The sequence below is a fragment of the Homo sapiens genome, chromosome 12 (assembly GCF_000001405.40).
Source record: "Homo sapiens chromosome 12, GRCh38.p14 Primary Assembly".
Classification (NCBI taxonomy): Eukaryota; Metazoa; Chordata; class Mammalia; order Primates; family Hominidae; genus Homo; species Homo sapiens.
Window position 1 is genome coordinate 68884683 of NC_000012.12, and position 27908 is coordinate 68912590.

General features: G+C 42.1%; 1 protein-coding gene and 1 pseudogene across 28 annotated transcripts in view; one reads left to right on the forward strand and one right to left on the reverse strand.

Annotated features, from left to right (window-relative positions):
• Positions 1–27908, reverse strand: part of CPM (carboxypeptidase M) — a 121273-nt gene that overhangs the window by 42486 nt on the left and 50879 nt on the right. For 18 of the 28 annotated variants that reach the window (XR_001748580.3, NR_182142.1, XR_001748577.3 and 15 more), the window contains one exon: positions 1110–1207. The exons of 8 other annotated variants lie outside the window; for them this stretch is intronic. Coding sequence is in view for 14 of the 20 variants with exons in the window: in NM_001413393.1 (NP_001400322.1) it covers positions 1110–1207 (98 nt within the window). In the remaining 6 variants the exon portion in view is untranslated. The remainder of the gene's footprint in view (positions 1–1109; positions 1208–27908) is intronic. 2 more of the 28 variants (NM_001413395.1, NM_001413396.1) reach the window with 1 other exon arrangement.
• RNU7-4P (RNA, U7 small nuclear 4 pseudogene) lies at positions 27239–27298 on the forward strand (annotated as a pseudogene).

Consider the following 27908-nt stretch of genomic DNA (forward strand, 5'->3'; position numbering starts at 1 on the left):
CCTTACTGGGATGGCTGGGGACTCTTTGATCGCTCAGTTTTATAGAGTCCTGGTAAACAGAAAATATTTCAGTTGTCATGGTCTCAAAATATTCTGAGGAAGCAAGGTGAGAAACAGAGGTGAACATCTTCAACTGCCTGGCAAGAATGGCTGGGTAGGTAACAGTGGTAAATGGTATTTTGTAGAACCTAAAAATAAAAGGAGAGTTTATCCCTGCTAAGTTGGAAAAGAGGCAAGATATTATTAAGGAATTTAAAATTGTGTTTTGTTTTGTTTTTTTAGATGGAGTCTCACTGTGTCGCCTAGGCTGGAGAGCAGTGGCACGATCTTGGCTCACTGCAGCCTCCACCTCCTGGGTTCAAGCAATTCTCCTGCCTCAGCCTCCCGACTAGCTGAGATTACAGGTATGCGCCACCACACCTGGCTAATTTTTTGCATTTTTAGTAGAGACAAGGTTTCACCATGTTGGCCAGGCTGGTCTTGAACTACTGACCTCAAGTGATCTACCTGCCTTGGCCTCCCAAATTGCTGGGATTATAGGTGTGAGCCACTGCACCCAGCCAAGTGTTTGTTGAATGGTGAGTAGGAGAGAATCATAAGTGTGATTGTCTAAACTGGAGCACTGAAGACAATGAGTGTTAGATTTAAGAGAGAGTAACAAAAGCATTTGAAAAGCCAGATCTCAGGAATTTGGGTAGCTATTTGGGAGTTTCTGATGGTTGTGGGTTCGGATACAATACAGCTCCTTTGCTGGGTCACCTTCATGCTGACCAGGAGGTGGGAAAACTTAACCCAGAAAGGAGATGCAGGGATTGGCTGGCAGAAGTTCAGGGCTGGGGAACTGTTGTTCTTCCGGCCCCAAACACAAAACAAGCTCCAGCTACTCTGACAGGGTGCTGGGTACACAACCATACAGCTGTGGTGGTTGTTGGACCCTGATTCCTTAACCTCCCACAGGCCTCACAGGAAGACCTCTCTGGGCCTTGCTTCTTTGTACAATGCATGCTGGAGACTTCTCCAGGCTTCCTCGGTAGCATTTATACAGAGCTCAAGAGACCCTAGGGGAAGCTTCTCTGGTGACATTTCAGAAATTCAAGCCACATACGTACCTCATCTCCATGCATATTTGCCACGTATTTGAACTCTGGAATCCCAATTCTGTGTTCCTTTGGAAACCGCCCCACAACAAGAACCCACAGGTTTCTACCTTTACAGGAAAAGAAGAAAAGATGGAAAAGTAAGTTGTCTCTTAAAATGACAAATGAACTCTGGTAAGACTAGGAAACAGGATGCTGCTTCCCCCACTTGATCGCCTGTTTCATGGTGACTTAAGTTTGTATGACTAACATCTCCATGCTTAAAACACTCATCGTTTACCGTCAGAATTTATGGAAACCCTTTCAATTCAGCACAAATATTTCACTTATTATTTTAGAATGTGATTTTTAAAAGCTGAAGACTTATTAGGCGATGTAGATCTTACTCTTCTAAAATGTGTATATACATTACCCTGAGATCCTGGAGCCTTTGAGATCCTGGAGCCTCCTAGGATCTTGCTAATTCACACAATTATATAAAGTTAAATTATAGTTGATGGTTGACTGGGAGGGTGTCATAACTCGCAGTACAAGGAAAGAAAAAAAAACAACAGCAATAAAAGTAACTCAGGGCCAGGCACGGTGGCTCACGCCTGTAATCCCAGCACTCTAGGAGGCCGAGGCGGGCAGATCACGAGGTCAGGAGATCGAGACCATCCTGGCTAACACAGTGAAATCCCGTCTCTACTAAATATACAAAAAATTAGCCGGGCGTGGTGGCGGGCGCCTGTAGTCCCAGCTACTCGGGAGGCTGAGGCAGGAGAATGGTGTGAACCCCGGAGGCGGAGCTTGCAGTGAGCCAAGATCGCGCCACTGCATTCCAGCCCTGGCGACAGAGCGAGACTCCGTCTCAAAAATAAATAAATAAATAAATAAAATTTAAAAAGAGTAACTCAGAAGGGAGATTGTTTTTAAAGCAGGAGATCCTGAATTCTGTATTTAAATGCTGATGTGACACAGCCCCTTGGGAGCATCCTTGATATGTGTGAGTCCTGTCAGGTGAACTGGGAACCACAACCCAAAGAAAGCGTCTAAGTCTTAGCTCTGTGTGATCTGGGCAAGAAAGGGCAGAGACAAAAGCTCACTGAGGATTTGCTTTGTGCAGATATTATGTGTGCTGCTCTGGCTCAGGTAATCTCAAGTAATCCCTTGTTGTGACCCACTGAGACGGATTATTAACCAAACTTTACAAATGAAAAAACTGATCTTCAAAAATATTAAGTAAAGGGCTTATGATCACACTGCCGATCAGAGGCTGTGATTTGAGCCCCTGAGCCAAGAACTGAACTCTGGTCTATTTGACTTCAATTCTAGTGCTCCTCCCACTAACAAAAACTGCTTGTCTCTTAAGAGGCTTGGTTTCCTAACCAGTAAAAATGACGAAGTCCCTTTCAATTTTAAAATTGTCTGGCACTTTTAATACAGTTTACCTTAGAGATGTGGGTATGTTTGATATCCGTCATGTATGTACAAAGTTTAAATATCTGTAATAATTAAGCCTCTGTGGAATTTAAGAGCCCAGGAGAGGAATTTCACAGCAACCAATGGGCAAATGTTGAGCAGGTTTCTGCAGAAGTTCAGATCTAGCTCTTTAAATCAGGAGTCCCACAGACTGGGGAGCATGCAGTTGCCATCAGGGACTCAGGGAACAGCAGATACTGGGCTTGTTATTTTCAACATTTATTCATAATTTATTATAACAATATTTTATGGAAATTTGTCATAAGGTGATGCTTTAAATTTAACTGCAGGAGTTCTCAGAAAACACCCACAAAATGCAGTTTATATGATTTATGTACCCTGTTCAGTGCAGAATTCTTATTCATACATCTATTTAATGAATACTACTATATCCAGGCACTGAACCTGGGTCAGATTGCACAAATAAGCCACATGCTCTATGCCCAATGAATTTCTGATCTATTGGATAATAGTAACACACAAGCATATACTAGAGTGTGACATATGATAGATGTGTGTGTAGTGTACTGTTGTGGGCATAGAATAAAAAAAGAAATTTTTTCCAAGGAGGGGGCTGATGAAAAAGCCTTACAGATGCAGGGTTTTATAGATGATGCCTCTACACAAGGTTCTGAAGAGTGATTCCGAGTTTGCCATGTGGACAAGTACACTACATGTGGTGATTCCCCATCAGAAGCATTTGATTAACCAATTTCATTAACCTTCCATTCCCCAACCCTGTCAATTCTTTGTTGTCTGGAGCTTTACTTCTACAAAGTTACCATTTTCATATGAAACAAGGAACTTTTCATGAGTGAGCTGTTATACCTGGCTTTTAAAGTTTGTTTCTGAGGAATTCTTTTGTGTTAACTAATTATACAGAATATGATCTAGTTCTCTTACAAGCAAGGACAAAATTTCAGTGTCATCTCAATATAATATTTATCAATAGTTATTTATAACTATGCATCTGCAAGCTGGCCTATTACATAAAAGATAATGTAAGATGACATAAACCTGACTTGATATGGATATCCAATATTATTTAAAGAAGGAGGGAAATCACACTGATAAAAATCTAAGTGAAGAAGTACTTTGATGAGTAACTCAGTCTCAATTTTAGCATAAGTGGTCCCTAAGTGAACTGCAAGATAAGAATCTTACCTTGAACAACCTCAGTGACACAGTCTGAGAATGAAAACCAACCAACAGACCTGAAGAAAACTATTCTTTGGAATGACAGGCCTCTTGAAGGGTTTTAACTGCCCTCTCCAGCTTACTGGCTATCTCTGGCCTAGACCAGAGCAAATGCACAAAGGACAAACTATTTACTTTTCACAACCTGACTGTCAGGTAAGTAAAAGTAATCTAAACAAGGTTTTGTTTTTGTTTTTGTTTTAAATCAAGGTTAGAAAGACCACCTTTATTCCCAAAAGTTCCTGCTATAACAGGTGTTCTAAAGAGTTCTGAAGTACTCAGCCACTCTCTCTCCACCACAAAGTAAATGAAGTTTGGATTCCAGAGATTTCAGTATTTATATTCAGCAACTCACACAGGGTTTAACACAAATTCTGGGGCTGTGACATGGGTGCATAACTAGGTTTGGTTGGAGGATCAGGAAAAGTTTTACAATTTAGAAGCATTTGCTAAGATCTCTAAGACAAGAAAGCAGACAAGTGCTACAAAATACTACAGGACTTCAGGAGAAAGAAGAAGGAGAAGCTTGGAAAATTAAGTATAGCTTCAACAGGCAGAAATAGGTGAGGTGTCTTTCCCACATCAGAGGCACCTGGGATCCTTGTAAAAGTGCCAATTCCTGAGCCCCAGTCTCAGTCAAACTCTTGGGGTAAAGCGTGAAACTGGCATTTAACAAGTTCCTTTGGTGATTGGGAGGCTCATTAAAGTTTGAAAGTTGCTGAGACTGAGGTAGGAAAATGTCCAGACAGACTTGAGAGGTAGTTGATATTTAGGTACACTCATTTCATTTTATACATAATCGTGAACATGTTTATATGTTAAGAAGTATACTTCTAATCCACCTTTTTAAATGGCTGATTAATATTTTATTATATGAATGCACTACCATTTATTCAATCAATTCTCTATTGTTAGGTGTCCAATGATAAGGAATTTTATGTAAATTATAGCATGTTCACTAAAATTACGTACAGAATTTATAACATTAAAATATTTTATAGTATGGAAAAAGAATGCAAAATTATATAATTACAACCATGTAAAACAGACTTTCTATTAAAAACCTATAGCTTCGTAGCATATAAAGCCTTAAATTAAATAATGGATGAGGCCAGGTGTGGTGGCTCATGCCTGTAATCCCAGCACTTTGGGAGGCTGAGGTGGGAGGATTACTTGAGGCCAGGAGTTTGAGACCAGCTTGGGCAACACAGTGTGATGCCATCTCTACAAAAACTTTAAAAATTAGCTGGGTGTGGTGGCATGTGTCTGTAATCCTAGCTACGCGGTATAAGATTCTCCCCGGGGCCTGAAAGCTTAAGGAGATGAATAACTCCTCCCTTCTCAGGCCCAGTCCCAAGGCGCAAGTCCACTTGTGTCAGCAGCGTGTGTCAGCAAGATAGCAGAAGCAGGAAGAGAGCCGGCAGGAAGACACCTACCCTGGACGAAGACATGTACCCCTGATCGAGAAACAGGCCACCTGGGTACAACATAGCAGTTACGTCAGACTAGGACACTTCCTGTTTACAAGAGACTATAAAACCTCTGCCCTGTCCTCACTTGGGGCTGATGCCATTTTAGGCTTCAGCCTGCCTGTACCCAGGTGCTCATTAAAACAGCATGTTGCTTCACACCGCCTCGTGTTTTCTGTTGGCGCGCTCTCAGGGTTCCAACCAATACAAGAACCTTACACTCAGGAGACTGAGGTGCAAGGATCCCTTGATCCCAGGAGTTTGAGGTTACAGTGAATTATGATTGTGCCACTGCACTCCAGCCTGGGACACAGCAAGACCTGTCTCTTAAAAAATTAATAATAATGAATGCATCCCTACAGGATTGAAAATGGCACACTGTCAGGGATAAGAGGCTAAATGATAGGATGATAAAGCTGAGTAATTATTTTCACCTTTCCATCTTTCCAGTTTTTTTAATTTAAAAAAAAAAAAACCAAACCCTATCATTCATTAAGTGCAGATACTATGTGCCAGGCACTCTGCTAAGCACTTTATGTTATTTGATCTTCACACCTGTGAGGTGTGTGATAGCCACAATGCATAGTTGAGGAAACTTAAGTGGCAGAAACAGGGTTCAAATCCAAGTCTGTCTGATTCCAAAGATCTGTGCTCTTCTGAGGATCTAAGGCTGCCTCAATGTCCCTGAAAGTACTAGACAGGCCAAAGCCAACCCCACTCTGGGGAAAAAGTCCCCAGGCAGTTCTTTCAGCAGCATGCTGCTACGGTTTGCTCCTGGAGCAAGACTGGGCTTTCTTCCTGGCTATGACTGATTACAGAACAAGACAACTGAATCCGAGGCCACCCCACCGGGACATTCCACATTGGGTGTTAATGTCACAACTCCATCAGACTATCTCTATGTGGAGAGTCTCAATGGGACATGCCTAGGGAGAAGCAGAGACCTTGGGTGGCCCAGTCATTGGGACAAAGCTGCAGTGATGTGAAGCACATTCCAGTTTTTCGTGAGGCTTGTTGTGTGTTTGGTCTGATACATAAAGTTCTGGTACACAGAGTAATAGATCAGCTGGTTTCCCAGGCTTGGATGTTTCTCTGTGTGTATCCTTACAAGTCACCTCTGACCTAAGTCCAAGCTTGAGAGAGTTTCCTCAATGAACTGAGTTTCAGTTTCTTCCACGTAAGTGGGAATAACAGCCCTACTGGCAAGGCTGCACTGTAGTGTGAGTTCCTTTTATCTTCCCTAACAACGATCCAAAGATCTGACATCAATTTCACGTATGCACATTCCCACTATACCCCACACACAAGAAGTTTATCACATATGGCACGCAAAGCCCACATTGAATAATGAGTGAATCCACAGAAGAGTTGAAAATCACATATTATTTAGGTCAGTTTAAACACTCATTCTCCAAAGTTCACACGCCCTCTGTATTTGAAGGAGAGGAAGAGGTACCTGGCTAAGTGGTTTATTACAAACAAAACAAATGGAGGTTAACAAACAAAACAGAGACAAAAGGCATGGGCGAAGTTTCCAGACTAGCTATGCTTGCATTTTATTATTCACAGCTCAAAGCATTTTACGTATATTCACTCATTTAACCCTAATAGCCACAAGTGGTAGGTATAGGGTTATCCTTTCACACACAAGTCAACAGTCTTTGGAAACTTCATAAGGCAGAGGTTCTCAAAGTGTGGTCATGGTACCAAGAGTATCAGTATCACCTGGGAACTAGTTAGAACTGCACATCCTTGTGTTCCATCCTGGATGTGCTGAATGAGAAACTCTGGGGTTGGGGAGCAGTAATCTGTGTTGTTTTGTTTTTTTGGGTTTTTTTTTGAGGCAGAGTCTCGCTTTGTTGTTTTGTCCCCCAGGCTGGAGTGCATTAGAGTAATCGCGGCTCACTGCAGCCTCCACTTCCTGGGTTCAAACGACTCTCATGTCTCAGTCTCCAGAGTAGCTGGGACTACAGATGTGTGCCACCACGGCCAACTCATGTTTGTATTTTTAGTAGAGATGGGGTTTAGCCATGTTGGCCAGGCTGGTCTCGAACTCCTGACCTCAAGTGATCTGCCCACCTTGGCCTCCCAAAGTGCTGGGATTACAGGCGTGAGCCACTTCACGCGGCTGGAAATCTACGTTTTAATAAGCTCTCCAGGTGATTCCCAGTCACCTGAAAGCTTAAGAACCACTGTAACAAAGGACAAGACTGGGTAGTCTATCCGTGGAGTCCCTGCTCTGTTCTTAACCACTATGCTGTACTGCTAATCACCTCAGAGATGGAAAATGGAAAACATCAAAGAAAAAACATCAAAGAAAAACAAAAGAAACGTGAACGTGTGAAGCAAGCTTGCTGTGTACTGGCTTCTGTTGTTGAGGTTATTGTCTGTCTCCCCTCTGGGGAGAACTGGAAATGGAAGGAGGGAGTCGAGGGGCACAATGAGGATGGTTTGAGAAGTGATGGCTATTGTTTGCTGCCTTGGTTTTATTTGATTAGCTGGTACATCCCAAATTGCTCTCCATTTAAGGACTACAGGTGAGCCTTAGTCACTCTGCCCCAGAGCTGTGGAATGTGGAGTAGCTGCACTTCTGGGATCAGGCTGCTAGGTGTTCTCCCTGCACTCAGTTTGAATGCTAGTCAGCAAATAGGCTAAGAAAGTAGGGTAGGTAGGCCGGGCGTGGTGGCTCACACCTGTAATCCCAGCACTTTGGGAGGCCAAGGCAGGCGGATCACCTGAGGTTGGGAGTTTGAGACCAGCCTGCCTAACATCGCGAAACCCTGTCTCTACTAAAAATACAAAATTAGCTGGGCGTGGTGGTACATGCCTGTAATCCCAGCTATTCGGGAGGCTGAGGCTGAAGAATCCCTTGAACCCAGGAGGCGGAGGTTGCACCATTGCACTTCAGCCTGGGCAACAAAAGCAAAACTCGTCTCAAAACAAACAAAAAAACAAACCGAAAAGAAAGTAGGGTAAGCACGTTCTCACTCATAAGTGGGAGTTCAACAATGAGAACACATGGACACAGGGAGGGGAACATCACACACCTGGGCCTGTTGGAGGGTTGGGGGCAAGGGGAGGGAGAGCATTAGGACAAATACCTAATGCATGCAGGGCTTAAAACCTAGATGACAGGTTGATAAGGTGCAGCAAACCACCATGGCACATGTATACCTATGTAACGAACCTGCATGCTCTGCACACGTATCCCAGAACTTAAATTAAAAAAAAACAAAAACTGACAAAAAAAAAAAAAGACAGTAGGGTGGCTGGACTGGCAAGGGAAGGAAAGACGTGGACAAAATCCATTTGTACCATACACACCCTGTCTCTGGGACACACACCTTTTTTCATGGCAAACCACCTGGCATGCACTGCGATTTCTGTAGAGTTTCAGGTTTGGGCCAGTCCACATGAACACCCAGTCTGTTTCTGAACTCGCAAAGCTGAGAGCCTGTACAGATGTGATGCCCTCTAGCCTGCCCCAGGTCAGCCACAGGATCCCAATGAAGCTTAACTGTCATATTCTGTGTAGTGGGCTGGGAATTCCTGACTTTGTTTATGGACAGGGGAACCTGTCAAGGAAGGGTCTCAGGGAGTCAGGTGTCCCAGGGGTCTTGTGCTGCTGTGATAAGAGTAAGTGCTCTATTCTGCTCTGAAGTAATGAAGGGGCTGGGCTATTTCTTCTGCCTAGGTCAATTCTAAAGTCTACTTAGAGCCATGAGTTTTGCAGTTCAGTTTAATATGGGAATGAGAGGAACACAGAAGGCTTCCCTGTTTAGGCTTCCCAAAATGGAATGAGAAATAGGCAGGCATTTGACTCCAACTTCTGCTGCACTGGAATTTCCCGTTGCACAGATTCTGGTGTGGGGTCTAAAATGAGGCCACCTGCTGTGTTAGTATAACCCTGGGCCTTGTTGAGGTTGTGGAACTCAGTGGTCCCCAGGGGTTCTGCGTGGATCTGGGAACCATGTCCCCTGCACTTTTCTCTCTGGCCAACCTCTTTGGGCCCAGCATTCCTGGCTCTTCTAACTGATTGCCTGGACAAGGAAGCTTTACTCAGTGGAGTATGCTAACCCTGCAATGGCACTCTGAGGGTAGGGTGTGGAGCGCTGGTTGTTACCAGGGACTACCTCATGCTCACCAGTCTTCACAGCTGTCTTGTCCTCCACCCCACCCCTTGGCTGCACCACCACCACCACTGCCACCATATACACCCTAGTCACTCTCTAATCCTGTGTCATCTTTCTTCACAACTTTTTCACTCTTTGAGATTGTATATTTGTTTATCTATATACTATCTGTCTCACCAAAATGTAACCCACAAGGGCACTGCCTGGTGTGTTCACCATTTTGTTTAGGTTGCTGGTTTTGTTCACTGCTAACCTAACGGTGCCTGGCGCACTGTAGGTTTCAATTAGTATCTACTGTAACATTTCAAAAATTATTGGTGTATCTCCAGGACTGCGTTTTCTTGATAAATATTGGCACATAACATCCAGAGTCTTCCCTCGGTGTTCAGGGTCCTCCATCACCTGCCCTCCACCCGAATTTCCCACTACCTGCTAACACAAATGCGCCCACAGGAGGCAGGTTCCTTTCTGCACCCTAGTACCCTAGGCACAGCCCCACCTTATTTACATTGTTTTAGCTTAAAATGGCTTCATTGGATTTTCTGCCTTTTAAAATCCTCTGAATTCCACAAAATCCTGGTTCTAAGAAGTTTCCCCAGGCTGCTCTGACTCACCTGGGTTTTTCTCTCTTCAGAATATTTCTATAAAGTGGCATCCTAAGATTTGTCACTGTGAAGCATTCTGCCTTGAAGTTAGTTTTCTAAGGGTGTCACGGCCAGGTGTGGTGGCTCATGCCTGTAATCCCAGCACTTTGGAAGACTGAGGAGGGCAGATCACTTGTGGTCAGGAGTTTGAGACCAGCCTGGCTAACACAGTGAAACTGTCACCACTAAAAATACAAAAATTAGCTGGGCATGGTGGTGCGTGTAATCCCAGCTACTTGGGAGGCTGAGGCATGAGAATCACTTGAACCTGGGAAGTGGAGGTTGCAGTAAGCCGAGATCGCACCGCTGCACTCCAGCCTGGGTGACAGAGCGAGACTCAGTCTCAAAAAAAAAAAAAAAAAAAAAAGTTTCATGTGGCCAAGTCTTGATTTCATAAAAATATTGTCATATTTTCCTTTTGCTCCCCTGCTGTGTCTACCAGGTAAATCATGGCCATTCCCTAAGGCCCAGGTCATCTTCTTAGTAAAGACCTCAGTGGTGGGTTGTATTATTGGTTGCCCAACATCTGGTGCCCTAATGAACTCAGGCATATCATGTGACCTGCTCTGGCCAGTGAAATGTGGGCAGAAATGGTAATGTACCACTTCTGGGCAGAGCTTTAAGGGCTGATGCATGATTTGCCATCTCCTTTCCCTCTGACATAAGACAGGCAATGATTGGATAGAGGGTGCTCTGTCAGCTTCGGTCCTGGAGGGAAGGTGACAGGGAGCAGAGTCACAACTGTTCAATAATGGACATATGAGTGACATCTAAATCTTTATTTTTCTGTTATAAGCCATAGCAATTTGTGGGTCTTCTATTTCTGCAGTACAGTCCAGCCCTTTTCATATGACACTGCTTCCATAACCAACCCAAACCAAAATGACTTTCCCTCTAGTGAGTGTTCATTATACTTATTGCTGATACCTGTGCTTTTTCAGATAGGGGTTCCCAGAACCATAAAATTTTGTGGAGGTGGCCCAGAAGTAAAGAAATCTTAGAAAATGTGTTTTAGGCCAGACACAGTGGCTCACGCCTGTAATCCCAGCACTTTGGGAGGCCGAGGCAGGTGGATCATTTGAGGTCAGGAGTTCTCTGCAAAAAGTACAAAAATTAGCTGGGTGTGGTGGTGTGCCATGAATACACTCATTTCTATTTCTGACATCACTTTCATGCTTTGACAAAATGAAGTCCAAATGAAAACATGTTGTTGAGTAAACTTTCCTTTGTTTGGGTGATTGATCATATGTGAACTGGATCCCATGGCTCTAACTGCTTTTCCTTCAATGACTCCCCATGGCATTGAGATGGCACCTGATCCCCTCAGCATGCACACCAGACCTCTTGGGATCTGTCTTCTTCCTGCCTTGGGTTTCCCACCCCAATCCCATACACCAGGCCCTAGCCATTCTTCTTTATGTGTAGTTCCCAAAGGAGGTAACTCCCTGCCTTGACACCTTTAATACCTGCTCTTTCTTCTGCATGGATAGTCCTTAGCCCACCCCATCAAAGCGGCCAACCTCCCCTTGCCTTTTCAAGGCTCAGCTAAAAGCCTCCTGCCATCCAACACCTTCCTGATCCTTCTGCTCAGCCCCATCCCCTACCACCCTAAGTTAGATGCTTCCTTTGAACTTTCATAGATAGTACCCCTGCAACCCCTCTCCTATCATTTATTGAAACCAAAGGTTTTCCTGCAAGCAAGGGATTTTGTATCTCTGTGCTTGCAAAATCTGGTGTAGTGTCTGGCATATACATAGCAAATGATTGATAAATGTTTGCTGAGTGAATGGATGATTGGATAAATTAACAAACAAACCTGAGGAAGCTCACTTGGAGTCCGAGTCACCTTTGGTCCGGGGATTAGATGAAACTGTTTTCCAGTATTGATGGAAAAGTCCATAGTTAGTCTATGAGGTGCCATCCTGGGTGGGCTCTGGAAAGAACCCAGTTTTCTAGATCAAATCAAGAGTCAATGCACCTTCTTGGAATATTTCCATGCAAGAAAGTGCCAAGATCCAAACCAAATGTCTGGTTTCAAGTTAGATTCTTCCAACATTATGGGGAGATAGAGTTGCATTTGCTTACATGTTCATCCCCATAGTATTAAAGTTTTGATATTATACCCAAGAAATGTAGATGTTAGGTTCCATTTCATTTCTTCCTGAATAGGTGAATGGGGAGGTTTGGGAATTTCAGTTCCTAAATTAGGGACAGTTACGTTTTTAATTGAAAAAAAAAAATAGAGGAAAAATCTGAAGCTGCATTGGGTTGCAATAAATTTTCTTTTTTTTCTTCAAGACAGTCAAGACTCCCAGAGAAACAGAACAGCTTGTCTCATTAATCACTAACCATCAACAAAAAACAGGAAGACGGTAGGAAATTCCTCTGCCTTTCTCCTCTTGCAACCCCACCTTCTCTATTCCTCCCACTCCATTCCCAGGTCAGAGACTCATAAACCTGTCCTGCTTCCTCTAAACATTTAAATTTTTAACCTATAAATTATAAGACATTTTTAAGAATGGAGTTTTAAAAACTGGACATAATTATCATGCCCCAATCATTATAATTCTTCCATGTTCCCCTTTAGGTTTTTTTTTTTTTTTCCTCCATATAGCTACAGGAAACTTGTTTTTAAATCCCCAAAGTGAAAACCTCTAGGGACCTCATACTATAAAAAGCTGAGAACTTCCCTTTTTGGTCCCTTGAGGAAGAGGTCAAACATAACCAGATCATCTTTTTGAAGGACAATTCAGCTGTACTAAGAGCGAGATCGAGCATTACCTTAAAGTACAAATGAATACTTAAAGAGATTTCTTGGCCAAGGTGGGCAGATCACAAGGTCAGGAGTTCCAGAGCAGCCTGGCCAATATGGGGAAACCTCGTCTCTACTAAAGTTACAAAAAATTAGCCGGGCGTGGTGGTGTGTGCCTGTAATCCCAGCTACTCAGGAGGCTTGGGCAGGAGAATCGCTTGAACCCGGGAAGCAGAGGTTGCAGTGAGTGGAGATCGTGCCATTGCACTCCAGTCTGGGTGACAGAGCGAGACTCCGTTTCAAAAAAAAAAAAAAAAAAAGGCACAATCATTACAACTAGCACTATACAGTTATTGTCCATTTGAGGTTTCTTTTTTTACAGTATGTCATGGACATTCCGGTTCAGTGTTGAGGTTTTGTTTCTTGCTGCCCTATTGGTCTCACTCCGTCAGCCAGGCAGGAATGCAGTGGTGCAATCATGGCTCACTATAGCCTTGACCTCCCAGGGCTCAAGTCAGCCACCTCAGCCTCCTGAGTATCTGGGACTACAAGCATGGACCACTACGCCTGGCTAATTTGTGTATTTTTTTTTTTTTTTTGTAGAGATGGGGTTTTGCCATGCTGTCTAGGCTGGTCTTGAAATCCTGAGCTCAAGCAATCCACCCACCTCAGCCTCCCAAGATGTTAGGATTACGGGCATGAGCCACTGTGCCTGGCCTGGTGTTCTTATTTGTTATGAGTGCCTGCAGGTGTCACAGAGCTGTAATTTAAGAAGAGGTTAATTCAGACCCCTTTTGACCCCAGAAAAGACAGTTTGTTGGAGGTCTGCACAGCCCTATTGTCTATTTATTGCTACCATAAGAACTCATCCTTTAGTGGCAAGGAATAATGGCAATTAATTTACTAGTTTCCCCATAAGCTACTGTGGAGAAGAAAGGCTTTTCTTTCAGTCATCCTACTTCCTGAGTTTTACCCTAAAAAGCTCTCATTCTAAAGTGAAGCAAGTGAGAGTCCAGAGTGAAGGATGCTTAGCTCCCAATAGCAGGAGAGGCCTTGAAGTTACCAAAATTAGGTTCCCTAACCGGAACATTTGGTGGATTAACAAAGGTGGACTACTTCTCACTAGTATCACTGTTTTGAGATTTAAATCTCAAAAATAGATCAGTAGTTTAGTAAAGACATCAAAACCAGCATTGAGCAGCACGTCACCTGCCTGAACACAGCATGTGAGATGAGATGATATACAGTATCCTCTTCAGGGCATCTGACATAATGATGAAATGTGCAGGTTCCAGAATCAAAGTGTCAGAGCTAAAACCCAGCTCTGTCACTTACTAGCCATGTGGTATTGGGCAAATTGCTTAATCCCTCTAAATGAATCAGTTTCCTCATCCATATTATGGGATTAACGGTACTTACCCTCATGGGGTTGTTGTGCTATCTCATTTAATTCTTACAAGCTTTAAAAATAGTGCCAGAAACATTGTAAGCACGTGTTTGTTTGAGGGCCTCAGGTGTACAAATTGGCTGATGACAAACTACTGGCCCTAGCAGATGATGTAGTATCAGACCAATTAAAGACAAATTTTCAATATAAACAGTGTACATAACATAGGGATAGACTGCCAATTTGTTATGCCAAGAGACAGCAGAAATGTATGTGCCAGAAGATCTGCACATCAGGTCAAATAGACTACCACTCACTGAAGTTAAAAAGAAAACTGGAGTGTGGATTCAGAAAGTGGAAGGGGCTATTTTGAGAGAACATGTCCTTCAAAATGTATTAGCACAAAAACTGTCACAAACATTCACACCACCAAGCATCAGGTAAATTACTTTTTCAACTCCAAGGACTGAATCTCATTCAGAATTCCCAGGCCCTAACAGCAGAGGACAGTGCTGAACTGGGAAGCCGCATGTTGCCATGAGGGCAGGGCAGAAAGCCAAGTCACCTCTGTTAACTGTGTTGAATCATTAACCATAAACACATTTTTCACAACATTTTCTTTCATGGCCTGTTCTCAAAATTATTGAGGACATCGTGTAGATTTTGACTATCTCAATGTTAATGAGCCTGGAAAGCATGTTAAGAATTTCCAGTCTGGTGCTGTCATGGAGAGACTCCAACTCATCACTGTAAGAGGGCAAGCCAAGAGCTTGTAGACAAGGAAATGGTTCATTAGGAATCAACCAATGACATAAAATTGGTTCAATATGAATCGGTCAATGCCAAAAAAAGGCAGGGGAACTGTCCTAGATTGTGAGACTGTAGACGATGGGTGAGCCTTGCTTGATTTGATTCTGGGAACTACTGGAGAACTTTAAAAATGCAGTATGTTGTTGGATATTACTGAGTTATTATTTTTAGTTTAATAATGATGTGTCATGATTAGGCAGTAAGAAGTCATGCTTAGGAGATGCATATTGGTGTTTTTTGGGATGATGTGACATGCCATTTATCACTTCTAATGGTTCAGTAAAATCAACAGATGGAGCTCATGAGAGAGATAAAGCAAATGTGGCAAAATATTAACAACTGGTGGATGTATATGAATAATGTGTGAGTGCTTATTTTACTATTTTTGTATTTTTTTCTATAGGACTGAAAATTTTCTAAATAAAAAGCTGGAGGGATCAAGAGAATGAAAAGGTAAGCCACAGACTTGGAGAAAATGTTTGCAAAAGACATGTCTGATGAAAGAGTTATCCAAAATACAGAAAGAATTCTGAAAACCCAACAATAAGAAAATAAACAACTCAATTAAAAAATGGACAAAAGATGGAAACAGCAGGCATTTCACCAAAGAAGATAAACAGAGGGCAAATAAGCATATGAAAAGATGTCATCATATGTCACATCATATGTCATCAGGGAAAGGCAAATTAAAACAACAATGAGATATCAATGCATTCCTATTAGAATGGCAAAAATTCAGAACACTGACAACACCAAATACTGGCGAGGATGTGGAGCAACAGGAACTCTCATTCATTGCTGGTGGGAATGCAAAATGGCCAATTTGGAAAGCAGTTTGCAAGTGTCTTACAAAACTAAACCTACTCTTGCCATATGATCCAGCAAACAAGCTCCTTGTTATTTAACAAAATAAACTGAAAACTTACGTCCATATAAAAATTATACAGCTATTTACATTTTTATTTATCATTGCCAAAACTTGAAAGGAACCAAGAGGTCCTTCAGTAGGTGAGGGGATAAATAACCTGTGGTACACTCAGACAATGGAATACGAGTCAGTGTTGAAAAGAAATGATCTATCAAGCCATGAAGATACATGGAGGAAACTTAAATGCATATTACTAAGTAAAAGAAGCCAATCTGAAAAGGCTATACTATATGAGTCCAAGCATATGACATTTTGAAACAGGCGAAATTATGGAGACAATAAAAAGATCAGTGGTTGCCAAAGGCTAGTGAGGAGGGAAGGATGAAAAGATGGCACATAGGGTATTTAGGGCAGTGAAACTCCTCTGTATGATACTACAATGTCATTATACATTTGTCCAAACCCCTACTTCAGTGTAGGTTTATTAGTTGTAACAAATGTACCACTCTGGTGGGGGATATTGATCATGGGAGAGGCTATGCGCGTGTGGGGATAGGGACAAGGGGTATGTGGGAAATCTCTGTACCTTCCTCTCAATTTTGCTTTAGATAATTTTGCTTTTGGGTACTGGTTCTTGGGTTTTAAGTAAATATTTATATTTGTATTGACTTTGCCACAGTAGGTACAGCAAATTTGCTCTAAAACTGCTCTAAGAAAATAAAGTCTTAAAAAAAAGCTGGTGAGGAGGGAAAGGTTTGAAAAAGGTAAAGGTAAGAAACTATGCCCCCATGCACCGGCTCCTGCGGCTTGTAAGGGTGGGATTTAGGAGCCAGAGAGGTCAGGTTGTTCACCTGAAAGGTGAGGCCACCTGGAGGGAGAATGGAAGCCCCAAGGTGAGGAATTCACAGTCTGCTTCTCTCTGATGAAAACACAGAGCTATACTAACCATATTAGAAAGGGGTTAAGAAATTAGTATGTAAACTCTCCAAAACCTGGTCAAGCACATTAGCTTTATTAAACCTCTCTATTTGGAAAAAAAATCATGTGAAAATTTTTATTACAACTAGCAAAAGCTACACAAATAGTTTAAAATCATACGATTTATGGGATCATTGAGACTTCTGGTCACTCAGTCATTAATCTAGCAAAGGCCAAGTGATTAACATAAGAATAAGCAGTCAGTAAAGTTTGAGTGTTGGGCAAGTTTAATCATAACCTCCATGTCTTCCTCAGGATTGGACTTTGGATGGAGTGAAGGGGAAGGAAAATAAATGTTCGGACTTATTCAGTCTCAATTAGATCACCACTCACTTCCTTCAGTCTCTGGGTAGAACAGAGCAAGTAGCAGAAGTATTACAGGAGAAGAAGGGGAGAGAGGAGAGAGAAGGGGAGAGGGGAGGGGATGGCACAGGAGCTGGGAAGGAGAGTATCAGAAAGAGGCACCTCTGTGTCACCCAGCCTGGGAATGCCAACTGAGGAGCTCTACTTTACTTAATATGCATCAATGCAGGACCAAACCTTTGTTGCTTTAAGAATCCTTTCAATTTATCCTTTAACGAAATCATAACACATACTTGATAAATGAGAAGCTACATGACAATCACTCAACCTCTTTCCAAGGAGAGGTAAATATGAGCTTTGTTTACCTTTTTGTTTCTATTCATTTTTAAGACAGCCAAGAAGAATATGAGCATACTATCATTCTACATAATTTAAACCATGAGTGGTACTAATTAATTTCTGTAGCAAGGTACCATGTGAAATTTGCTGTACCTGCTGTTGCAAAGTCAACACAAATATAAGTATTTTACTTTAAAAAACTCCCAAGAACTAGTACCCAAGTATTCCACACACTGAAATACCATGCCTCAAGAAATTATCAACAGATTTCTTCAGCTTATCAAAGCACTTGGCAATGATGCTCTGAGCAGACCCACTAACAATGATCACTAATTGAGGGGCATAATAAGGGGATCTGCTTTAGAAATCTCTATTGGTTTCGGACTTTTCCAGTGTTTCACTGAGATTTGGGGTATTAGGATAGCAGAGGGGTGGCATATTTAAGTGATGTCATAATCATGGAATCAGAGGAAAAACTCAAGGATTTCGGGAAATCATACCTGCTTAAAATACAGATATTTTACATAATTTCCAAAGTGCTTTATCATTTAATCCTCAACAGAAACACCATGAGATAAGTAAGGCAGGTATTATTATCCTCATTTTACAAATGACGAGATGGGCTCAGACAGCCTGGGCTTTGAACTGTGTTTTCGTTTGTTTTACTCTAAGGTTAATGTTCCTCCAAAGTAAAACAGACCTTCTTCTATTACTACCTCAGAGGCAACTGATGTTTACCTTTTTTAGAATAAAGAACTTGAGACATCTCACTTCCCAAATAAAGTAAGAGCTTCATCTCCCATGTCCCTCTCCCCACTCTACAAAAGTGACAAAAAGTCACTATTAACAAGTTGCTTCTCCAATAGATGAGCATTATTTAGACTCATCAATGAGAAGATGCTTTCTGGAAGTTGTAAGTTTATTTTCTTTTGTATCTATAAGAGCTCTGAGACATTAACTGCCTACAATGTTATTGTTAACAAACGTTGTTAACAAAGTCAATGTTACCTGCAAGTAGGCCTACATGCTCACAAAGAAACTTGAACCTATTTTGGGAATTGCTAAATTTCTCAAGCTGTGCATTTACAGTCGGCTGATCACATGTTTTTTCCTGAGCTGAAGACAGTAGCTTTAAAAAAGCCATCTTTCTCTTTTTTTCCCCCTTTGGAACTATTGAAGTCTCAGTCAATAATGTCCTCTCATACCCGTAAACTGTAGCTTATGTTCAATATATCCAAAGGACCAACACTGAATGTTAAGGCTCTGAACTGTCTGTCAGAGTAGGCCCAAGATTACATGGGCACCGCCACTGAACATTTTCAGGTCAGAAAATCTCCCAAACCCAACTCTTTGGCTTCGACAAACTGTATAATTAACTTGCATCTCAGATCAGCTCCTACCTTAAAATGTAAGTTGAGAAATGCCCATTTCAGAAGCAGCATGAGGAAATGAAGGTGTTAATAAGCCATTTGAGTTTACCCGTTCATTAAAGCACATCTTATCTTGATCTTAGTTTGTGTATTTTAAATTAATAATTTATGCTCTGCCAGTTTCACAAAGGACATGAGGCACATTGCTCACTGGCAAACTGTTCTCAAGAAAGAGTGGGCCAGGTGCCATATTCAGAGGCCTAGAACGGATTTCGTGCACATAAATATACAAGTCAGGCCTCCCTCCCTCTGTCTCTCCTTCCCTCTGTCCGTCCCGCCGTCCGTCCCTCCGTCCCTCCCTCCCTTCTTCCCTCCCTCCCTTTCTCTCATTCTTTCTTTCTTTCTTTCTTTCTTTTGACTGGGTCTTGCTCTGTTGCCCAGGCTGGAATGCAGTGGTGTGAACGTGGCTCACTGCAGCCTGGAACTCCTGGGCTCAGGTGATCCTCCCGCCTTGCCCTCCCATGTAGCTGGGACCACAGGCATGCGCCACTATACCTGGCTAATGTTTTGTAGAGATGGGGGTCTCACTTTGTTGCCCAGGCTGGTCCTAAACTCCTGGTTTCAAGTGATCCCACCGCCTTGGCCCCTGAAAGCACTGGGATTACAGGTGTGAACCACCATGCTTGGCAAGTCAGGTCTCTTGAAAGGAATCTACTTTTCCATAGGCTATGGCACAGAAACCTTGGTAGAAAGTCCAAATAATTACAAGAAGCCATTCCAGAGACACTCTTGACTATAACAGATACCGTCTCATAATGGACTGATGTATCCCTAGCTCATCTCAAGTCTGCTGGGACAATCACAACTCTGTGCCCATCATTTGCAGTACATAGTGGCCAGTCCTTTCTGATAATGTGCATCTATTTACCTCAAATGAGATTAAGAAATTGGTAGACATGGACCTTACTGAAGTTACTTCATTTTACCACAGAGTCAAATGGTTGGGCTTCAGGATGAGGCAGATTCTTAGGGGAAGATGGCAACAAGATTCGCCAAGGTTTTCACATTGCTCAATACATCAGCAATGCTGAGCAACAGAATTGCTAATACCTTCAGACATGCCCAACTACCATTCAGAATTAGATGAGCTCTTGAAGACCAACCATGAGGGTACTGTTCAAGCCACTCTCTCCATTTAACACACAGAGAGGTGGGCACAAGATCACACAACAGAGACCCGTGAGAAAGCAGAAGGCAGTCTGAACCACAGCCTGGCATGTGGGTGGAAGGGGAAGAAGAGAGAGAGGAGGATCCTCATAGTGATTCAGTCATACATGAATGACTCCTATCTAATGAACAGAAACCTAAGTAGAATAGAGCCAGGTCTGGCATTTTTAAACTGTGCATTAAAATACAGAAAAGTGGTTTTTTTGGGGGGATGGAGTTTCATTCTTGTCGCTCACGCTGGAGTGCAATGGTGTGATCTCGGCTCACTGCAACCTCCACCTCCCGGATTCAAGCAATTCTCCTGCCTCAGCCTCCCGAGTAGCTGGAATTACATGCATGCACCACCACGCCTGGCTAATGTTTGCATTTTTAGTAGAGATGGGGGTTTCACCATGTTGGCCAGGCTGGTCTTGAACTCCTGACCTCAGGTGATCCACCCGCCTCAGCCTCCCAAGGTGCTAGGATTACAGGCGTGAACTACCATACCCGGCCAAAATATAGAAACATTTTAAAACATCTCTCATGATACGCATGAGAAGGATTCAGAGAAATCTTTTTTTTTCTCTCTCTCTCTCTTTTTTTAAACAGGGTCTCACTCTGTCACCCAGACTATAGTGCAGTGGTGTGATCTCAGCTCACCACTGCCTCCACCTCCTGGGCTCAAAGAATCCTCCCACATCAGCCTCCTGAGTAGCTGGGACTGCAGGCACATACCACCATACCCAGCTAATTTTTGTACTTTTTGTAAAGACAGGGTCTTGCTATGTTGCCCAGGCTGGTCTTGAACTCCTGGGCTCAAGTGATCCACTCGCCTCACCCTCCCAAAATGCTAGGATTCCAAGCATGAGCCACTGTACCTGGCCAACAGAAATCTTGTTGTAGGTATTTTATATAGTCTTTTTACATTTTTGTGCATTAAAAAAAATCATGGATACATGTAAGATATAGCCTTGTTTCTTGGTGAGTAGGTCTACGCAAACCTACCCACAAAGGCAGAGGGAACTAAGAGGCTTAAGAAAGAGGCTGATAAATCCAGTTCTTCAGAAAAAATATTTAATAGGGACTTACAAATAGAAGCGATGTCTTGGGCTGCTCCAGAAAGTGAGTCCCTGTGTCCACCCACCAGAAATGATCCTTTATATAGCAAGTGTTTAGAGTAAAGACAGCTGGTCATGTCTCAGATCCTCCTGGGGAACACTGGTGACCACTGGGGAAGTCAGATAAGCATGTTTATGAGGGGTTATCTGTGCTACAGGCATTGTTTCTTGGCCTTGCTGCAAGAACACCTTGGCATGCAGGACTCAAGCATCGGTCATCGTGGTGGTTTCGCTTCAAGATGGTGTTACCCTTGCAGTGCACCAGGCTGTTTTCCTACCATCCCAATGTGTGAGCCTAGTCATTCTCAAGTCATTCTTTTGCTCTACTTATAGAGTCCTATTGATGCCCAGTATTAAGCACATCAACAGCAGACCAGGTCTGCAGCTTTGCTATGTTCTTACAGGTATATCTTCAGATGACCTGCAGCAGAATTACCTGAGGTATTTGTAAAAAACTGCAAACTCCTGGGCCCCATCCAGAACAGGAATCTTGAGGCGTGAGTTCAGGAGTCTGCATTTTTCACAAATACCTCAGCTGACTCTAATTCACGCCATTAAGAAAAAACTCTTCAGTGAAATAACAATATACATAGAATACTGTACATTGAATCCAGTACAATGAATACATGGAATACAATATGCAGAGAAAGCTATATGCTGAAGAGCTCACTGTAGATTTTGTTTTTTTTTTGAGAGACAAAGTCTCACTCTGTCACCCAGGCTGGAGTGTAGTGGCACGATCTTGGTTCACCGCAGCCTCTGCCTCCTGGGTTCAAGTGATTCTCATGCCTCAGCCTCCCGAGTACCTGGGATTACAGGTATCCGCCATCACACCTGGCTAATTGTTTTGTATTTTTAGTAGAGACGGGTTTTCACCAAGCTGGTCTTGAACTCCTGACTTCAAATGATCCGCCCGCCTCAGCCTCCCAAAGTGCTGGGATTACAGGCGCCACTGTGGATTTTCATAAACTAAACACACATTTGTGTAGACAGCAGCCTCAAAGCACCCTTGTGCCTATTTCCAGGCACTGTCCCCTGTGGTGCATCCATGCATACTGTTGTATAAATGTAAATCATTCATTATCAGGACTGCATAGTATTCCGTCAGGGAATGGGAACCAAATTAAGAACCCTGGCTTCCAGAATTAAGCCTAAACAGAGCTAATCCCTGCATGAACACATCACATCTTATACCTGAAGGCACGCTTCTCCATTTTTGACCCCATGGCTAAAGTTTGCCAGGAACTATAGAGCTCACACTGTGACTGAGGTCAGAGGGCTGGGTGAGAGTGCTGCTTGCACCAGAGCAGTGGCTCTGTTGTTCGATTTTAAAGAGGCTCCTTCTAGCATGGTCTGATAACCAGTAAGGTGTCATATCTTTTCCTGACACAGGTTTTTCAACCCTGCCTCATGAAGGCTCATCAGAGTATAATTCTTTCCTGAACACTGCAGTTGCTGAAATAGCCAATTTGGAGGGCACATTATTAGGGTGATTCTGCGAACCTGGAGCTAGACAACTTGAGTCCAAATCCCAATGCCACCACTGCCTGTGGGACTATGGGCAACTTATTTAACTCTCTGGAGCCTCAGTTTCCTCATGTGTAAAAGGAGGCTTATAATAGTACCTCATAGGGTTGTCAGAAGCAGTGAAGGAGCACTTAGAACAACATGCACAGTAGGCAAACACATGTGTTTGATAGATGCATTGGAACTTCTGAACTCATGAGTGCAACACAGACACTAAAGGGGTCATATGGTTTTAATGACAAGGGAAGAAAGGAAGTGCAGTGATTTGGGGTAGGTTAGCCCAGCGGCTCCCACTCCACCTGCCTTTAAAGAATCATCTACAGAAGGCTTGCACATTTGTACCCATATTTCTGCCACACAACATTCTTTTTCCAGAATCTAAAAAGTGTTAATTAACATGCCTACATGTAGTCATCCACTTTTGCTAACCTTTGCTAGCCAGAATGAAAATTCATCATTAATCCAGGGCTGGGTTGGTTATTTATTTATTTATTTATTTATTTTTGAGATGGAGTCTCACTCTGTTGCCCAAGCTGGAGTGCAGTGGTACGATCTGGGCTCATTGCAATCTCCGCCTCCCGGATTTAAGTGATTCTCCTGCTTCAGCTTCCCAAGTAGCTGGGATTACAGGCTCCCGCCACCACACCTGACTAATTTTTGTATTTTTAGTAGAGACGAGGTTTCACCATGTTGGCCAGGCTGGTCATGAACTCCTGACAGGTGATTCCCCTGCCTCGGCCTCCCAAAGTACTGGGAATACAGGCGTAAGCCACCACACCGGCTTGGGTTATTTTTAAATGGACTATTATCTCAAACTCATTTTTGTACCAGATGAGGGATTAAAAATTCCATTACAAGTAGAAACACTGAAGAATCCCTTCTCTGATTCATTCTGGCTGGTCTTCTAGTTCTTGCAAAGCTGTGACATTTCATGTATTTTATGTATTTCCTAAGGTGCTGTAGGTACCAGGATACAAGGCCAACCCGGGGCTACTCTTTCTGCTGTGTCTCTACCTACAGCCATTATGACCTGAATCTACTCCACAGGACACAGCTTTTTTTTTTTTTTTCTCATCACTTTCTCTTTTCTCTGGAGGTATCTGCTAAAATTGCAAACTCCTGGGCCCACCCAGAATGGACATCCACTTTCTGAGTGTCTCTTCAAACTCCTCTTGGCTCTTTCTGCTTACCAAAGTCATACATACTTTTTAAAAATTTGAGTGCTCAAAAATATATATTGTCAGACATGAAATCTATCTACATACCACTCGATTCCCAAAAATAGATTCCAGATGGAGTTAGGTGCTAAACATAAAAACTAAAACCATAAAAATATTGAAAAGGGTATAGAATATATTTATGACCTTGGGGGAAAGAGGGCCTTTTTAAGTGAGGCATGGAACATAAAAGCATAAAGAAAAGGACTGACGAATACGATCTCATAAAAATTAAAAACTTCTGTAAGGCCAAAGATACTGAAAATGGAGCTCAAAAGACAAGCCACAGAAGAGGTGAAAATATTTGCCACACACATAACAAAGCATGAATAAATAGAAAAACAGGCAAATGGCATGAGGAAATAGAAATGACCAATAGAGTTTAACAGAAGTTCCACAGGGGCAGGGGTTTGTGTTTGTTCATCTGGGGCAGTACCTCAATGTTTATCTAATGTTGAATTAATGTGAAAACATGTTCATTCTGATTTTCAATCATGTAAATGCTACTAATTATTAAGTAGAGATAGGTTCTCGCTCTGTCACCCAGGCTATAGTTCAGTGGTGGGACCATGGCCCTGGGTTCAAGCAATCATCCAGCCTCGGTGTCCTGGGTAGCTGGAATGACAGGAATGCACCATCATGCCTGGCTAGTTTTTAAAAAAATTTTCGTTAGAGATGGGATCTTGCTATGTTGCCCAGGCTAGTCTTGAACTCCTGGCCCTGGCCTCAAACAATCCTCCCATCTTGACCTCCTAAGTCTCTGGAACTGTAGGTGTGTACCACCATGCTCAGTGAAAATGCAACTTAAAATGGAGATTTTTTTTTTCACCCATTAGAATGGAAAAAAATTAGTGTTGGTTAGGATGTGGGGAAATACACATACTCACGTGGGGCTGGGAGTGTAAATAATACATCCTCTTGTAGGTTAATCTGTCAGTATCCATCAAGCACAAAAATGCATATACCTTTTATGCACACATATGTTTATTGCAGCACTATTCACAATAGCAAAGACTTGGAACCAACCCAAATGTCCATCAATGATAGACTGGATTAAGAAAATGTGGCACATATACACCATGGAATACTATTCAGCCATAAAAAGGATGAGTTCATGTCCTTTGCAGGGACATGGATGAAGCTGGAAACCATCATTCTCAGCAAACTATCAGAATATCAGAAAATCAAACACTGCATGTTCTCACTCATAAGTAGGAGTTGAACAACGAGAACACATGGACACAGGGAGGGAAACATCACACACTGGGGCCTGTTGGGGGGTGGGGGGGCTACGGGAGGGATAACATTAGGAGAAATACCTAATGTAGGTGACGGGTTGATGGGTGCAGCAAACCACCATGGCACATGTATACCTATGTAACAAACCTGCACATTCTGCACATGTAACCCAGAACTTAAAAGTATAATAATAATAATAATAATGAAGAAGAAGAAGAAGAGGAAGAAGAGGAGGAAGAAGAGCATCATCAATGAAAGAAAGAAACTTGAGGAAAAAAATGCATGTACTTTTTGATTTAGTAGTGCCTATCTTGGGAAATTATGGAGCTAATGTGCTTGTTTAACAGTATTTATTGCAGCATTCTTCGAAATATCTAAAAGTTATAAATGACCTAAAGACTCATCAATATGGAAATGACTAAATAAACTAAGATAAGATTATACCACAGAATAGTTTGAAACAGTTAAAAAAATGAGGTATCTCTATATGTACTAACCTCTAACATAACACACATAAGTGAAAAAGCCAAGTTGCATAATGACATTTACAAGAGTGTTACTCATAAGACAAAACTGTAGACGTGTGTATACAGCATATGGAAATGCACATCAACTTTTTTTTTACTTCACAATATATTCTGGACATCCTCCCATGTCAAAACATATAAATCTACCTAATTCTTTAATAAAGGTTGTAAAATACTCCATTGACTGGGTTTGGCATAATCTGACCAATTCTCTATGGATAAATGTATGGGTTTTAAAAAATATCTTTATTGAGACATAATTTGCATACTATACAATCCACTCAGTTTAAGTATACAAGTCACTAGTTTCTTAAACTATTATTTTTTTAAAATATGGCAAAACACATATAACAAAATTTGTTATTTAACCATTCTAAGTGTACAACTCAGTGGCATTAACTAGATGACTGTATCATTTCATTTTTTTACTATTATAAGAAATGCTACAAATACAATGCTGTATATCCTCATATATACTTTGTGCAAATGATTCTATAAGATAGAAAGCTCTCATCTGTGATGGCCCAATGATAAAGAGTGATAAAAATGGGTTGGTCTTTTTCCTAAGATAACTACATTATCGTTAAACATGATTTTTAAACCTGTAAAAGACACGGAGGAATTTCCCAAGCAAATTTAGAAGATGAAAAAAAAATACCTTGTTTTTCTCTGTTCATTCACATTGTCGAGTATATAACTATAAGCTAATTAAAGTGAAGGATGATTTGCTATACGGCATCTGGGCATAAATATGCTAGATGTCAATATATTATTTGGTATCTGACTTTAACCTGAGTCTTTTTGGCCAAACATACCACAAGCAGTTGGATCTTATACAGAAAGACACGGCTTCAATGTTAGTTCAGGTTTCCTAATCTGGACCTCAGAGTCTCTTTGGAGAGTGACCTCTGGCAATTCATTTAATCCTAGGGCCTCAGGTTCCTTTTCTATAAAATAGAGGGTCTGTCCAGGATGCTATAACTTGTATGGCCCAGGTCCCAAAGTGTGCTGGCAGGAACAAGGTCAGCCCAAACTGCAGCTGCGGCTGGAGCCAAGCTCTCTAGACTTGAAGCTTCAGTCCTGAATCTACCAGGTACTTGCTTTGTGGCCTTGGGCAAGTTACTTAACCACTGGCAAGTCAGTATCTAAAGCTGTAAATTGGTATTTACCTCATAGGGTGTTGTGTAGATTCATTGAGATACAGCAGGAACATTGCCTAGCCCTGTGCCTGACATCAAAGATGCCCTCAATAAACAGTAGTTTGAGGGTTTTAAACACAAAGCATATGGCAGGGCCACGCTTCAAGGCTGCCAAATATCACAATTTATGTAACTGCAGTAAGAGTAGCATATATTTCCATAGCACTTATGTGCCAATCATATTCTGAGCACTTTATGTTTATTAACTTATTTAGCCCTCTCGACAACCTACGAGGTAGAACTATTATTTCTATTTTACAAAATAGGAACTAGGCACAGATAGGGTAAGACAGTAGTTCAAGATCACAGCCACTGAACAGCAGAACCAGGATTTGAACCCAGGCAATCTGTGTTCTTCGGGCTCTGTGTTCTCAACCATTATTAAACAGTCTTATTATAGTGTTACAGCTCTTTTAAAATTTGTCTAATAGGCTTTCTGGTTTTTGCTGGAAAGCCCCCCAAAGGGAAAAAAATAAGTTGTATTATTATTATTATTATTTTGAGACAGAGTTTCGCGCTTGTTGCCTAGGCTGGAGTGCAATACCACGATCTCAGCTCACTGCAACCTCTACCTCCTGGGTTCAAGCAATTCTCCTGCCTCAGCCTCCCAAGTAGCTGGGATTACAGGCATGCGCCAACACACTCGGCTAATTTTGTATTTTTAGTAGAGACGGGGCTTCACCATTTTGGCCAGGCTGGTCGAACTCCTGACCTCAGGTGATCTGCCTGCCTTGGCCTCCCAAAGTGGTGGGATTACAGGTGTGAGCCACCATGCCTGCCTGTATCATTATTGTTTATAAATATTTGTGTATTTGTGAGTATGGGCATAAATGGGGAATTTTTCCCTATTCTGATAGCTCCTCAATTTCAATACCTGATACCACCATCTTTTTCATATCAAGTTTTAAAAAATTAAGATGACTTTGCCAAACACTTCATTTGGACCCTACCGTCTAACTTAGAAACCTATATCTAAAATGACTGCCAGATGATAACTTGGTATAAAGGCTATGTAAAAAGAGGGAGTATAAGAAAAGGCGTTATTAAACTCCTTGTTGGTCACTTAT